Below are 14,707 nucleotides of genomic sequence, written 5' to 3'. Positions count from 1 at the left end.
TGTCAAAGCAGGTGGTTCGCAGGCTCTTGGTTTTCACCATGTCAAAGTGGGTGGGTCTCAGGCCCCTATTTTGCTGTTTTGTGGATTTTTATGTGTGCTAATACATGGAAGAGACCTAAACATACTTTTAGGCTGTGAGGAAGAAGCCAGCAGACAAGGGTAGCCTAAAATACTGGTGAGATGAACCCCATGTGGTCCATCTGCATGGCAGAGGGGTGCTCAGCCACGGGACCCAACCCACGCTGTGCAGCAGAGGAGTGCTCAGCCACGGGACCCGACCCACGCTATACGGCAGAGGAGTGCTCAGCCACGGGGAGGGACCTGAACCACGCTACAGCAGGAGTGAGCTCAGAGGACATGACCCAGTCACGGAAGGGCAAGTATTGAATGATCCCACTCATGGCAGGTCCCTAGAGTTGTCACATTCACAGAAACAGAAGGTAGAATGGTGGGTGCTGGGGCTGGGGAGGCAGAGTGGGGAGTTACTGCTTAGTGGGTGTCGTTTCCATTTAGGAGATGGAAGAAAGTTCTGGAGGCAGATGGTGGGGAAGAATGCACATTTCTGTGAATGGATTTTGTGCCCTTGAACGGTGCATTCGAAGCTGGTCAATTCTCTGTTAGATACGCTTCACCACAGCCGCAGGAAAGTGACACCAAATGCTGGTGACAGAGTGACACTCCCAGAGCATCCTAGGCAGAGTGGGCACCAAGAAAGGCAGTGAGTTCCCTGTCCCCGTCAGGAAGCAAGGAGGCCGTTCTGCACAGCGGGGTGCTGGACACAGACCTCCGCAACCTCTTCCATCCCTGGGGTCCTGTGGTTCTGTGCCTCACACTGTCCCGTGTGCCTCACACGGGACAGTGGGCCAAGCCAGTCAAACAGATCAGACACAGGCCTGTGCCAGGTGTGTGGCCACAGGCTCAGAGGAAAGAAGACCCTGCGGTCCAGGGATGGGTGTCTGCTGCCACGCATGACAGGGTCCCCTGGAAGTGGACAGGGCTCTGGGCTGCAGCCACAGGCCAGGGTTGGGGCAGCATCCAGCGGACTCTCCTCTCCGTTGTGACCTGGGAAAGCAGGCGTCACAGCCTTTAACCCGCTGCCTCGGGCCAGTATGTCTGCTGGCTCCCTTCTCCGCTGCTCTTCTCCTTCTCTGCCCCCTTCTCCCATCGGGCCCTGTCGCTTTGAAAGGCTATGGACAGTCCCTTTGCTGGGAACGAGGCCCCACAGGCAGACGCCATATTCACAGATGCCTTCTTGGGCCCATTGTGGTCTCCTGAATTGGCTGAGTCTCAAGGCCTTTGATGAAAAGGTAGCTGGAGCAAGCGGCTAAAATAGCAGTCAGTGGCAGCCCCAGAGCGGGGTCTGAAGCTGGAGTGCATGATGGGCGCTTAGCTGTGGGCTTAGAGGGTGGGTGCGGGCTGGTGTGTGCCTGGGCAGCTGGGCGGGGTGTCTCCCCTGACATGGGACAGGCCAGCTGGCCCCACTGCGGCGCGCAGCAGGCCTGGATCCAGCAGTTCCCGTGGGAAGAAGGGGCTGAGGAGGGCCCCTCTGGGTCAGCCCAGGAGGACTCCGGCCGGGTCACACCTCCAGAAGGGACCCGCTTTCTCCAGGCCCCAGAGGCTGCTGAACAGCCTACCCCCTCCCTGGGCTGCCCTGGGCAAGAGCAGCCCTCACCCGTGACAGACGCGCCTGGCTTCCCCGTGTGTCTTGGGAGGCGGGAGGTGATGCTGACCCTCGCTCGGGAGGCGGGAGGTGATGCTGACTCTCGCTCGTTCTTTTGTTGTCCTTATGGTCATCACCGTGGGAAAGACCTACTCGTGGGAGAATAAAGAATCTGCTCCCAACCCCACTCCTGAAATTTAATTTTAAAAAACGTACTCAGGATAAAACCCTTCTTGCTGTCTGAGAGGATGTGGCTTCTCCAAGCACAGCCTGCCGAGGCTCTGTTTGCTGTGTGGGGAAGATGAGCCCGTGCTCGAGGCCGCCCCAGAGATGGAAGCCAGACTGAGCCGGGACTGAGTCTGGTGGCAGCCAGGCTTGGGGGCAAAGACCACCTGGTCTCATTTCTAGTCCCTGGGGCCCCAGGAAAATCCCAAAGGGAGCCAGGGGGCACAGCCATAGCATTCGCTTGCACCTTGTGACATAGCAGTAAGTGTACTTCCTGCAGGGGAAGCCCATGAGAAAGGAAGAAGAAAGAGAGTAAATGAAAGCCACAGAAAGAAAAACTGCAAGGGGGGTGACAGTCCGGGGGTGGCACAGCAAACCACAGCCAGACGGGGGCTGACAACCACAGAGGCATGGCTTCTCACTGTTCAGGGGGCCAAGAGGCCAGCACCAAGGTCTTGGTGAGAGGTGGTTCCCCCTTGGGGGGGCTCTGAGGGCCAATCTTCTCTGTGCTTCTGTCCTGGCCGGATCCCCTGCACGCGCCTCTGTCCCGGCCGCTGGCCGCCCTGCACGCGCTTCTGTCCCGGCTCCAGGCCTCCGTAAATGCACCTCTGTCCCAGCTGCTGACCTCCCTGCACGCGCCTCTGTCCTGGCTCCAGGCCTCCGTACACGCGCCTCTGTCCCGGCCGCTGGCCTTCCTGCACGCGCCTCTGTGGTGGCTGTTGGCCTCCCTGCACACGCCTCTGTGCCTGCCTCTGGCCTCCGTAAATGTGCCTCTGTCCCAGCCGCTGGCCTCCCTGCACGCGCCTCTGTGCCTGCCTCTGGCCTCCGTAAATGAGTCTCTGTCCTGGCCACTGGCCCCCCTGCATGTGCCTCTGTCCCGGCCACTGACCGCGGTATACGTGCCTCTGTCCCGGCCGCTGGCCTCCCTGCATGCGCCTCTGTCTTGGCCGCTGGCCTCCCTGCACGTGCCTCTGCGCCTGCCTCTGGCCTCCGTAAATGTGCCTCTGTCCCGGCCGCTGGCCTTCCTGCATGCGCCTCTGTCTTGGCCGCTGGCCTCCCTGCACGTGCCTCTGTGCCTGCCTCTGGCCTCCGTAAATGTGCCTCTGTCCCAGCCGCTGGCCTCCCTGCATGCTCCTCTGTGCCCGCCTCTGGCCTCCGTAAATGAGTCTCTGTCCTGGCCACCGGCCCTCCTACATGTGCCTCTGTCCCGGCCGCTGGCCTCCCTGCACGCGCCTCTCTCCCGGCTGCTGGCCTTGCCACATTGCTTGGCGTTCCTTGGTTTGCAGCTCTGTAACTCCCCTCTCCTTAGCCACCGTCACATGGCTGGCATCCCTCTGTGTGTCTGTCTCTGTGTGGCATCCCCTCTCCGTGTGTCTCTCTTCTAAGATTGCTGGCATACTGTGCAAACACCCTTCTACTCCATGTGACCTCATCTTAACTAACTGTGTCTGCAAGGACCTTCTTTCCACACAAAGCCACTTTCTCAGGTGCCAGGAGTTAGGTTTTCAAAAAACCTTTTAGGGGGACACAATTCCACCCCAAAAGAAAGAAAGAGAAGACAAGAAACAGCATAAAAAAGAAAGAAAAGAAAAATGAGGGCAAGGGATGCATTCGGTGTGAAATTTCAGCCCAGGACTTTTGGGGTGTATAAGGAGAGATAGAATCTAGTTCTAGGTGGGTCCTTCCTGGGGGCCCTCTATGCTCTACCCCCTCAGGAGCACACTTTGGGTTGCTGAGTGAGCAGAACTGGCCACTGGCAAGCCCGGCCCTCCCCCCTCGGGCCCTGGGAGCCACATATATAAATACAGCCTGTGCCCAGTAAGATACAAGAAACGATAGATCGGTTTCCACACCCCATGCCCTTCAGTCACCCCCCCCCAACCACAAACAAGAGCCAGATGGCCACAAGGCCATGTAAGCAGCTTGTCTTCCAAAAGCCACCTTGTGTCTGCAGGACGCGGAGCACCCGGCAGCCCGGGCTGGTCCTCCTCGCCGGCACTCCTCGGCTTTGCCTGATGAACACCAACACGGTTTTAAGCTTCCATCCAGCATTTGCAGCTTACTCGTGAGATGCCAAACTGGTAGGTTTAAACCCAGTTAGGTCACTTTCTAGCAACATGACTTTGATCTGGCTGAGTTTTCTCCATCTGTGACGTGGGGAAAAGAGTTTCAACCTTACAGGATGTGTTGAGAATTCAAAGGAATGTGTGTGTAAAGTGCGCCAGCCTCACTGAAAATTGAAGCTGTCCATGCCGCCGTCCTCATCAGAGCAACACAACCATGCACCACGTTGGTCTTCTTGTTGGCTGTGGTTGACTTGGCACAGCAGGAGGTCTTGGGAAGAGTGGACGACTCTCCCACTCGAAGCAGGCTGCTCAGGTCTGACAACGCCTGCTTTGGAAACAGGCACCAAGAGCTCACCTCTAGCCCAGTTTTCACCAAGCACCTTTGGTTGTGTCAGCACTGTGGTGGGTGATAGGACAGGCAGGGAGAGGGTGGGAGCCCAGGACACACTTTCATCTTTAGGAACTATATAGGAGTCTCCAGCTCTTTTAATTAGATTATAACTCTTGCTAGTACTGTTTGTCTGCTTTTTAATAAAATTCTACAAATGGGTTGAGAGCTGTGAAGGGTCTGAGATCTTACTCTACTTGCGGGCTAACAAGTTAGGCTGCCATAGTTTTGTGGATGCTGGCAAAAGACACAAGACTGCTGCATCAGAGACAAGGATGGTGTTATTACTCACAGTCACAGCAGCAGGCAGAGTACTAGCCGTTTTTGTCTAAGTTATTTAAGGCCTAATCCCCACAGAACGAGACCTGCACTCACTGTGGATTCCGGGACAGGAGAGGATCCTCCAGCTTAGGGAACCAGGATCTTTTCTCTGCAGGGGAAACTTCATATTCCAAACCAGGGTTGTCTGCAGACATCCGTGACAAGACATCCTGGGGCAGAGGTTATTGAGATCTTTGCTTTCAGGATGTACAGACAGTCAGGAGACCCGTGGAAAATTGTGTCCCTACAAAATATAACATTGTTGGCTACTATTTATTAGTAATGGCAAAAATTGCAATTACTTTTGCACCAACCACATGGAAGAAATCATGCCCTTCATGAACATTCAGAGCAATGAGGACTCAGAGTAATGAGGACTGAGGGCAATGAGGACTGAGGGTAATGAGGACTGAGAGCAATGAGGACTGAGATCAATGAGGACTGAGGGCAATGAGGACTGAGGGCAATGAGGACTGAGATCAATGAGGACTGAGAGCAATGAGGATTGAGGGGAATGAGGACTGAGATCACTGAGGACTGAGGGCAATGAGGACTGAGAGCAATGAGGATTGAGATCAATGAGGACTGACGGTAATGAGCACTGAGATCAATGAGGACTGAGGGTAATGAGCACTAAAATCAATAAGGACTGAGATCAATGAGGACTGAGATCAATGAGGACTGAGGGCAATGAGGACTGAGGGGAATGAGGACTGAGGGGAATGAGGACTGAGATCAATGAGGACTGAGGTCAATGAGGACTGAGAGCAATGAGGACTGAGATCAATGAGGACTGACGGTAATGAGCACTGAGATCAATGAGGATGAGGGTAATGAGCACTAAAATCAATAAGGACTGAGATCAATGAGGACTGAGATCAATGAGTACTGAGGGCAATGAGGACTGAGGGGAATGAGGACTGAGGGCAATGAGGACTGAGGGGAATGAGGACTGAGGGCAATGAGGACTGAGATCAATGAGGACTGAGGGGAATGAGGACTGAGATCAATGAGGACTGAGGGCAATGAGGACTGAGGGCAATGAGGACTGAGAGCAATGAGGACTGAGATCAATGAGGACTGACGGTAATGAGCAAAGAGATCAATGAGGACTGAGGGTAATGAGCACTGAGATCAATGAGGACTGAGATCAATGAGGACTGAGATCAATGAGGACTGAGGGCAATGAGGACTGAGGGGAATGAGGTCTGAGGGCAATGAGGACTGAGGGCAATGAGGACTGAGATCAATGAGGACTGAGGGCAATGAGGACTGAGATCAATGAGGACTGAGGGCAATGAGGACTGAGGGGAATGAAGACTGAGGGCAATGAGGACTGAGGGGAATGAGGACTGAGATCATTGAGGACTGGGGGGAATGAGGACTGAGGGGAATGAGGACTGAGGGGAATGAGGACTGCGGGCAATGACGACTGAGGGGAATGAGGACTGAAAGCAATGAGGACTGAGGGGAATGAGGACTGAAAGCAGTGAGGACTGAAAGCAATGAGGACTGAGATCAATGAGGACCGAGGGGAATGAGGACCGAGGGCAATGAGGACCGAGGGCAATGAGGACTGAGATCAATGAGGACTGAGGGCAATGAGGACTGAGGGCAATGAGAACTGAGATCAATGAGGACTGAGGGCAATGAGGACTGAGAGCAATGAGGACTGAGATCAATGAGGACTGAGGGGATTGAGGACTGAGATCAATGAGGACTGAGGGCAATGAGGACTGAGGGGAATGAGGACTGATGGCAATGAGGACTGAGATCAATGAGGACTGAGGACAATGAGGACTGAGGGGAATGAGGACCGAGATCAATGAGGACTGAGATCAATGAGGACTGAGATCAATGAGGAATGAGATCAATGAGGACCGAGGGCAATGAGGACCAAGGGGAATGAGGACCGAGGGGAATGAGGACTGAGGGGAATGAGGACCGAGATCAATGACGACTGAGATCAATGACGACTGAGAGCAATGAGGACTGAGAGCAATGAGGACTGAGGGCAATGAGCACTGAGATCAATGAGGACTGAGATCAATGAGGACTGAGATCAATGATGACTGAGGGCAATGAGGACTGAGGGGAATGAGGACTGAGGGCAATGAGGACTGAGATCAATGACGACTGAGGGCAATGAGGACTGAGATTAATGAGGACCGAGGGCAATGAGGACTGAGGGGAATGAGGACTGAGGGGAATGAGGACCGAGATCAATGAGGACTGAGGGCAACGAAGAGCGAGATCAATGAGGACTGAGGGCAATGAGGACCGAGATCAATGAGGACTGAGATCAGTGAGGACCAAGGGCAATGAGGACCGAGGGGAATGAGGACCGAGATCAATGAGGACTGAGATCAATGAGGACTGAGAGCAATGAGGACTGAGATCAGTGAGGACTGAGAGTAATGAGGACTGAGGGGAATGAAGATTGGAACCACCTGGGGAGAAAGGCTGGGTGGCTGTGGGCGTGCAGAGCCAGGCTTTGCAGAGTGGGACGCATCCACAATCTCGTCTTCTGCTGACAGCCCAGTGAAGGGCCTCTGAACCCAGCTGGGCATTGGACTCTGCAGGCATCCAGGTGAGAGGTGAGAGCTCTACGCAGGTTGTTTATTCTGTCTTAGGCTGCAGATCTGCCGTGTGCTCCCCTCCACTCTCAACAACAGCCCGTTCCCTCTCTTCCGCCAGATGTTCACTGATCAGGCTCAGATTACCCAACAGAGATGGGAGATTGGTGCCGGCCCTGCACAGCATGCCTCGAAGGAAGCCCTGTGGCGAGAGATGAACCTAGCTCAACTTCCATTCTGCTGCTGGCGCCTGCCCCGGTAACCCGCATGTTACACGCAGGTCTCTGTCCTCAGAACTCCTGCACACATGTCCGAGTGCTGAGGCTTTTACTTTGTAGTGTATTGCAAATATCTTTCATTGAAAACAAATATTCATCTACCGTGGAATAGCTAACATTCAGTTTAGTGTTCCAATATGTGGGCGACAGCTCACTTAGCCAGTCATGCTCAGCTGGCCAGCGTTTGACCTCTTCCCTGCAGCTTTGTCGTCTCTTAGCTTCTGTGATGTTGAGTTTTCCCGGACCTCTCTCTGCCTCTCTGATGCCTTCTGTCTCCTCAGAACACACCTTTGCTTGTTCCCTCTGTCTGCCAAGTGTCTTCCCCAATGCCTTGCTTCCTTCTTCCCCGTGTTCTCACTCTCTCAGGGGCCCCATCTGTGTGCGGGTTGCACCTGCAGCTTCCTGGGGGCATCTAGGACATCCTGTCCTCCTCTCATCCTCAGCTCCTCTGCCACTGAGCTCCCATTCCCATTGTAAAGCCAGGATTTCCATCAGAGAATCCCCATTTTTCCCACCTTCTGGGTGGGCCATCCAGAAACTTCACATGCAGAACAGTGGGAGACAGAAAGCACCCAGTAAGTGGGTGCTGAATAAATGAATAAATGCAGCCCACGGCCAAGAGGGACTTGTGCATTGTGCACATATTAGATCTGTTCTTGGAGCGACTGCATTTGCTGTCCTCTGAAGCCTTGCACCTCTGTCTTGAACCTGCACTCGCCCCCACCATTCCAGGTTAGCCGATCTGTTTTGTAGCCAGGGGTCTTGATTCCTAGCAGAAGAAATCACTCTGCTCAGCTTACACGGATAACAAAGGTACTGGAAGAGTGTGGGATCTGGAAGACGTGGGGACCGAGGGCACCGGGGTTAGATTCCAGATAGACACGGAAGGTTCAGATGCAGGCACGGTGTTCATTCCCACGGTCATGCCACACCCATCACGCATGCCTGCTCCCTCGTCCCCACTCACTGGAGTCTCACGAGCTGCAGCCAGCCCTGCCTGCTGTGGAGGTCTTCCCTCATCACTCTGGTCTGCGTCTCTTTCTTTTCTATTTCCCATTGCAACTTATTTGTTTCTTCACATAAGGAGCCCATTCCTTAAGACAGGTCTTACACTTTTTAGATTCCCCCCACCAAGCTGGGCAGATGCTCCTGCCACGTCACTCTCCGAGGTCTTCATTGACTGACTGCACAGGGTGGCGTGGCCGTAGACCTATCTCTAGGTGAGGCCCACTCATCAACATTCGTCTTTCCTTTCTCCACAGCAGCAGAAATGGAGCTGGGTCCTGGAGGCCTCATTTTCCAGCCTCCCTTGTAGCTGGTTGTGACGTGTGGCTGTTATCCTGAGGGCAATGTCACTAGAAGCCTCTATGAGTTTCCGGGTCTTCCGGAGCAAAGCCCCACAGCCTGCAGGCTTCAACGACAGAAATATCTGTTCTCCCGGCTCTGGAGGCTGGAAGTCTGAGACCAAGGTGTCTGCAGGGCTGGTTCCTCTCCTTCCTTACAGACAGTGTCTTTTGCTGGGTCGTCCCACTCTGTGTATCTGTATCCTAATCTCCTCTCCTCATAAGGACATCAGTCGTATTGGTTTAGGGCCCACTCCTGTGACCTCATTTAACTTAATCGCCTCTTCAAAGGCCCCATCTGCAAATACAGTCCCATTCTGAGGTCCTGGGATGAGGATTTAATGTGAAAATCTTGGGGGGCAAAGCACTAACAAAGCAGTCTGTGCGATTTCCATATTGCTGGCCTAAGAGATCTCCTTCTTGGATTCCAGCTGCAGCCCTTCCTCCTGGCTGGAATGGCATCCACTGGGGTGGCCTTGGAAGCCGCGGGGTCAAGACGGCAGAGGCTCTGTCCACTGAGCTCTGTCCACTACCTGCCAGCGGGGACGCTCACCTCTGCCAGCTGTGCGAGTGGGAAGTACCTTCTTTGTTCTTTCAGCTGTGCTTTCGTTGGGGTCTCTTGTTAGAGGGGCTCCTCCTAGCCTAATGAAAACACCTGGTGCAAATGGAATAGGGAAATGTTCACAGGAGAAGTGCAGCTCAGGGTAACTGAATTCATTACCTGCTATTCTCTGAGTACGCTGGCAAAGGCAGGCAACATTGTAATGGCAATGATGCCCCCAAGCCATCTGTGTCTCCAATGAATCCTGGAAATAAATTGAACTGGCAGGAGAACATCAGACAGAAGGAAGTGCTTGACAGGAGCAGTCGTGGGTATATCTAAGCTTCCTGGAAATGTGCTATAAGTGAAGTTTTGTTTTCTCTTTTTCCCATTCTCCATAATTAAAATATTATGTTAAAATATTTTAATACATAAAAATATATGTAACATGTAAGTTCCAAAACATACTCATATAATGAACCCCTGGAACCAACTTCTCAACTAAGGACTGAAGTGTAGCCAGTAGCTTGCATGTACCTAGGAGTCCCATCCCTGTACTCCGCCAGAGGTGACCATGATTACCGCGGCACAATGATTGTGTCCGTTGTGTGTCTGGACTAGTGAGTGTTTGCTGCTTCTGAAAGACCATCAATATAACAAAGGTAATTTACAGCAAGAGGCACTTAAGGTTAATGGTGTAGCTCTTGGAAACACTCAGTGAAGACTTTGATGAGTGCTCTGGAATGGTGGGGAGGCACAGGGCCCTTAGAATAAGAAGCTTGTGTGTTTTTGTTTATACACTTTTGACTTCTAGAAAAGTTTACTTATTGTGCCTACATTGCTTCTCCAGTGCACTTCTGTTAGTGCTATGCAGAGCTGTTGAACCTTCTTTCTTTTCTTTTTGGCATCTCTTTCAAGATGAGAGATTCTGGCATCCACCCTACTGCTCAATTAATGATGATTTTTACCAATTTTAGAGATGCAAACAAAATTAGTAACTCTATTGTAATCTTTGAAATTTCACGTCACCTATCGGGAAAATGGAATTCTCCTTAGACTTGGCTTGCCTTCCCTGGCTGTGTGTTGATGAACATTGCAAATGCGTCACAGTTTGTAAACCCATTTCAAATCCATCACTTTAACGAACAGACGTTTTACAAATAAAGCAATAATCTCGCGAAATTACATGATGGGTCCTGATGTAGTGAGAGTCAGAGATTAGACCCAAAATCAAATGCACTCCCCTCTGTGATTTTTTTCCCTGCTGATGTTGACCCCCAGTTGGAGTGCTTGGTCAGCAGGAAGTATTCTGATGTTCTGGAGGGGCGGGAGTTGCCAGGGTGTATTAGTGTCTTGTGGCTGCTAAAGAAAGTACTATAAATTGGGTGGCTTAAAACAACAGAAGTTCTTCTCTTAGTCTAGAGGCTGGAAGTTGAAAGCATATCCAGGGTAGAATTGGAGGCGTCAGCAGGGCCGTGCTCCCTTGGGAGACTCCAGGAGAGAATCTGTTCGCTGTCTCTTCTGCTTCTGGGAGCTGCTGCCATTGCTGGGCTTGTGGCCGCATAGCTCCAGTGTTCAAGGCCTGGATCTTCACATCTCTCTCTGCCCCATCTTCTCATGGCCTTCTTCTCTGAGTGGATCTCTGTCAAATTTCCCTCTGCCTCCCTCTTAGAAAGACCCATGTGATTGCATTTAAGGCCCACCTAGATACCCACCCCGCCACCTGAAGATCCTTCATTTAATCATAGTCTGCAAAGCCCCTATTTACCACATAAGGCAATACTCACAGGTTCCAGAGATGAGGATGTGGGTGTCTTTGAGGAGAGGGAAAGATGAGAATGTGGGTGTCTTTGGGGAGGGAGAGATGAGGATGTGTGTGTCTTTGGGGAGGGAGAGAAGAGGATGTGGGTGTCTTTGGGGAGAGGGAGAGATGAGGATGTGGGTGTCTTTGGGGAGGGAGAGATGAGGATGTGAGTGTCTTTGGGGAGAGGGAGAGATGAGGATGTGGGTGTCTTTGGGGAGGGAGAGATGAGGATGTGAGTGTCTTTGGGGAGAGGGAGAGATGAGGATGTGGGTGTCTTTGGGGAGGGAGAGATGAGGATGTGAGTGTCTTTGGGTGGAGGGAGAGATGAGGATGTGGGTGTCTTTGGGGAGGGAGAGATGAGGATGTGAGTGTCTTTGGGGAGAGGGAGAGATGAGGATGTGGGTGTCTTTGGGGAGGGAGAGATGAGGATGTGAGTGTCTTTGGGGAGAGAGAGAGATGAGGATGTGAGTGTCTTTGCGGAGAGGGAGAGATGAGGATTTGGGCGTCTTTGTCGAGGGAGAGATGAGGATGCGATTTTCTTTGGGGAGAGGGAGAGATGAGGATGTGGGTGTCTTTGGGGGGAGGGAGAGATGAGGATGTGGGCGTCTGGGGGGGGGGAGAGATGAGGATGTGGGTGTCTTTGGGGAGTGAGAGTTGAGGATGTGGGTGTCTTTGGGGAGAGGGAGAGATGAGGCTGTGGTTTCTTTGGGGAGAGGAGAAGATGGGGATGTGAGTGTCTTGGGGAGGGAGAGATGACCATGTGAGTGTCTTTGGGGAGAGGGAGAGATGAGTTTTTCGTGTCTTTGGGGAGGGAGAGATGAGGATGTGAGTGTCTTTGGGGAGAGGGAGAGATGAGGATGTGGGTGTCTTTGGGGAGGGAGAGATCAGGATGTGAGTGTCTTTGGGGAGGGAGAGATGAGAATGTGGGTGTCTTTGGGGAGGGAGAGATGAGGATGTGGGTGTCTTTGGGGAGGGAAAGATGAGGCTGTGAGTGTCTTTGTGGAGGGAGAGATGATGTGGGTGTCTCTGGGAGGAGGGAGAGATGAGGATGTAGGTGTCTTTGGGGAGAGGGAGAGATGAGGATGTGGGTGTCTTTGGGGAGGGAGAGATGAGGATGTGGGTGTCTTTGGGGAGAGGGAGAGATGAGGATGTGGGTGTCTTTGGGGAGGGAGAGATGAGGATGTGTGTGTCTTTGGGGAGAGGGAGAGATGAGGATGTGGTTGTCTCTGGGGGGAGGGAGAGATGAGGATGTGGGTGTCTTTGGGGAGAGGGAGAGATGAGGATGTGGGTGTCTTTGGGGAGGGAGAGATGAGGATGTGGGTGTCTCTGGGGGGAGGGGAGAGATGAGGATGTGAATGTCTTTGGGGAGGGAGAGATGAGGATGTGGGTGTCTTTGGGGAGGGAGAGATGAGGATGTGGGTGTCTTTGGGGAGAGGGAGAGATGAGGATGTGGGTGTCTTTGGGGAGGGAGAGATGAGGATGTGGGTGTCTTTGGGGAGAGGGAGAGCCACCACACACAGTGAATCAATTCTTTAAAAAGCAAATTTCTTATTCGTAATCACGATAATAATCCTTAACAGCTATTTTGAAAGTTGGGACAATTTGAAAAGTTACTTTCCCGATGGAAGTGAGATTAGAATACTTTAGATGATAAACCAACCAAGGGCAAGAACACTGGAAAAAGGTAACTCTGGATTCAGGCAACAGACACACTAGACAGCCTTGGGAGCCCGTGTCAGATGGTACAATGCTGTGGCTGCTCACCTGGCTGAGGGCCACACACCTTTCAGGTAGCAGAGGTGCCTGAGAGACCCTGCTCCCCTAGTCTAGGCACATGCCTCCAGTCTGGACACACACCCGGGGTGGTCTGAGCAGGGGTCTGCTTGGCCTAAGCCAATCAGCAGTGCCCACCCCGTCTCTGGGAAGGGACCTGGGGAGGCTCAGCGGCGGAGTGCCCAGTGATCCTCCGCATGACGCTTGGACCCATCCCACCCAGGACAGAGGATGGTGGCCTGTGGACCGTGCACCCAAGGCCTTGGAGAGGGAGGGCTGGGGCTGGCATGGGAGGCATGCTTAGGGATCCTGTAGGGGGAGGGACTGCAAAACGGGGCTTGGTGTGGTTGGGATGGGGCTCAGGGCTGTGAGAGTGGCTAGGAGGTGTATTTAGGGCGGGGCTGGTAGGCAGGGCTAGGAGGTGTTTGGGGGTGGGGCCGTGCCCATGGCCAGGCTGTGCACAGGGAGCCCAGGTGCCTGGCTGTGGTTAGGGTGCAGGTTGGGAGGGTGTGATTTGGGCATGGGACTGGGAGGGGGTTTCAGGTCTGGGTCTGGTCGGAGGTCAGAGGTGGGGGTGGAGGTTGGGATCATGGGTGGGGCTGGTGCAGCTGGTGTGGTAAGGGCAGGGTCAGGGCCGGGACAGGGTCAGGGTTGGGGGAGAGAGGGGGGCACTGGGGTATCTCCCAGTTAACTCCCTTCGGTGGTACAGAGTGTCTTTGTTATCATTACCAGTCTTCAGGAGTCCCCATCACTGGCTCCCACCACGGTGAGATGTCTGTCCTGGCACATGAGTCCTGAAGTCGCCCCTGACTTGAGGTGACCTGGGCCAACTTTCAGCTTTCTGTCCAGGTGGAGGAGGGAGGAAGGAATCTCATACCATTACTCTATGCAGTAGCTCAGAGATAATATACTTAATTTTGTAGCTATATAAATCTGTGTGATAAAGACTCCAGAAATAGCAAGGACTCATGGCCGTAAGAACATCCTTTTAGAAACACTGAATGTGCATGCTTTCCACCTTCTCTGTGGTGTTGCAGGCCTGGCATTCTGGTGGCCAGTGTGCCTGCTTTCCTGGGGTTCCCTGCAGTCTTGTGGGTGCCTGCTGTCTTGGGGGCCCCTGCTGTCTTGGTGCCTGCTGTCTTGGGGCTCCCTGAGGTCTCGAGGGTGCCTGCTGTCTTGGGGGCCCCTGCAGTCTTGGTGGCGCCTGCTGTCTTAGGTGCCCCTGCTGTCTGGGGGTTCCCTGCTGTCTTGGGTGTATCTGCTTTCTTGGGGACCCCGGCCATGAGAGAATGTACAGAACCCCTTCTGAAAGGACCCAGGGCCCTGCACATGGGGCCTCTGCTTCTTGGGTGAGCAGGGGGCAGGGGCCCCATATGGTTGCCCCCTAGGAAGGCACAGCTTCTGGCGGGGTCTCCTCTCGCCTCCCTGCCACGTCTCCAGATGTTTAATGGCCCCCCACTGTAAGCATAAGAAACAAAGAAGGAGGTTTCTCTTGGGGAGTGTTTTGTGGGGCTGGGCAGGGTTTAAGTGACTGAGGGTCGAGTCTGCTCGGCCCTCTCCTCATGTGTGTTTCTGCAGCCACCACTGACCATGGAGCGAGAGTGGGTGGGCACAGACCAGAGCAGGGCGCAAATTCATCAGGGAATAGCCCGGGCTGGCTGCTTCTCAGCTTCCCCTGTTTGACAGATTTATCCAAGTAACTGCTAAGATCTATGCTGGGGTCGGAATGTGC

The 14,707-nt window shown here is 53.3% G+C and overlaps 1 long non-coding RNA gene across 2 annotated transcripts in view; it reads left to right on the top strand.

Moving 5' to 3' along the window:
• The first annotated feature begins 3,748 nt into the window (after nt 1–3,748).
• Nucleotides 3,749–14,707, top strand: part of LOC105375592 (uncharacterized) — a 27,269-nt gene continuing 16,310 nt past the window's right edge. The window contains exons 1-3 of one of the 2 annotated variants that reach the window (XR_001745442.1): nt 3,749–3,966; nt 7,358–7,516; nt 9,289–9,412. This is a non-coding gene — a long non-coding RNA (uncharacterized LOC105375592). Of the gene's footprint in view, nt 3,967–7,357; nt 7,517–9,288; nt 9,413–14,707 lie in introns of those variants that run through there. The other variant, XR_007060612.1, reaches the window with a different exon arrangement.

This window comes from Homo sapiens, chromosome 7, assembly GCF_000001405.40.
Source record: "Homo sapiens chromosome 7, GRCh38.p14 Primary Assembly".
Classification (NCBI taxonomy): domain Eukaryota; kingdom Metazoa; phylum Chordata; class Mammalia; order Primates; family Hominidae; genus Homo; species Homo sapiens.
The sequence above is the reverse complement of the archived record's forward strand: the minus strand, read 5'-3'. Positions and strand labels throughout refer to the sequence as shown.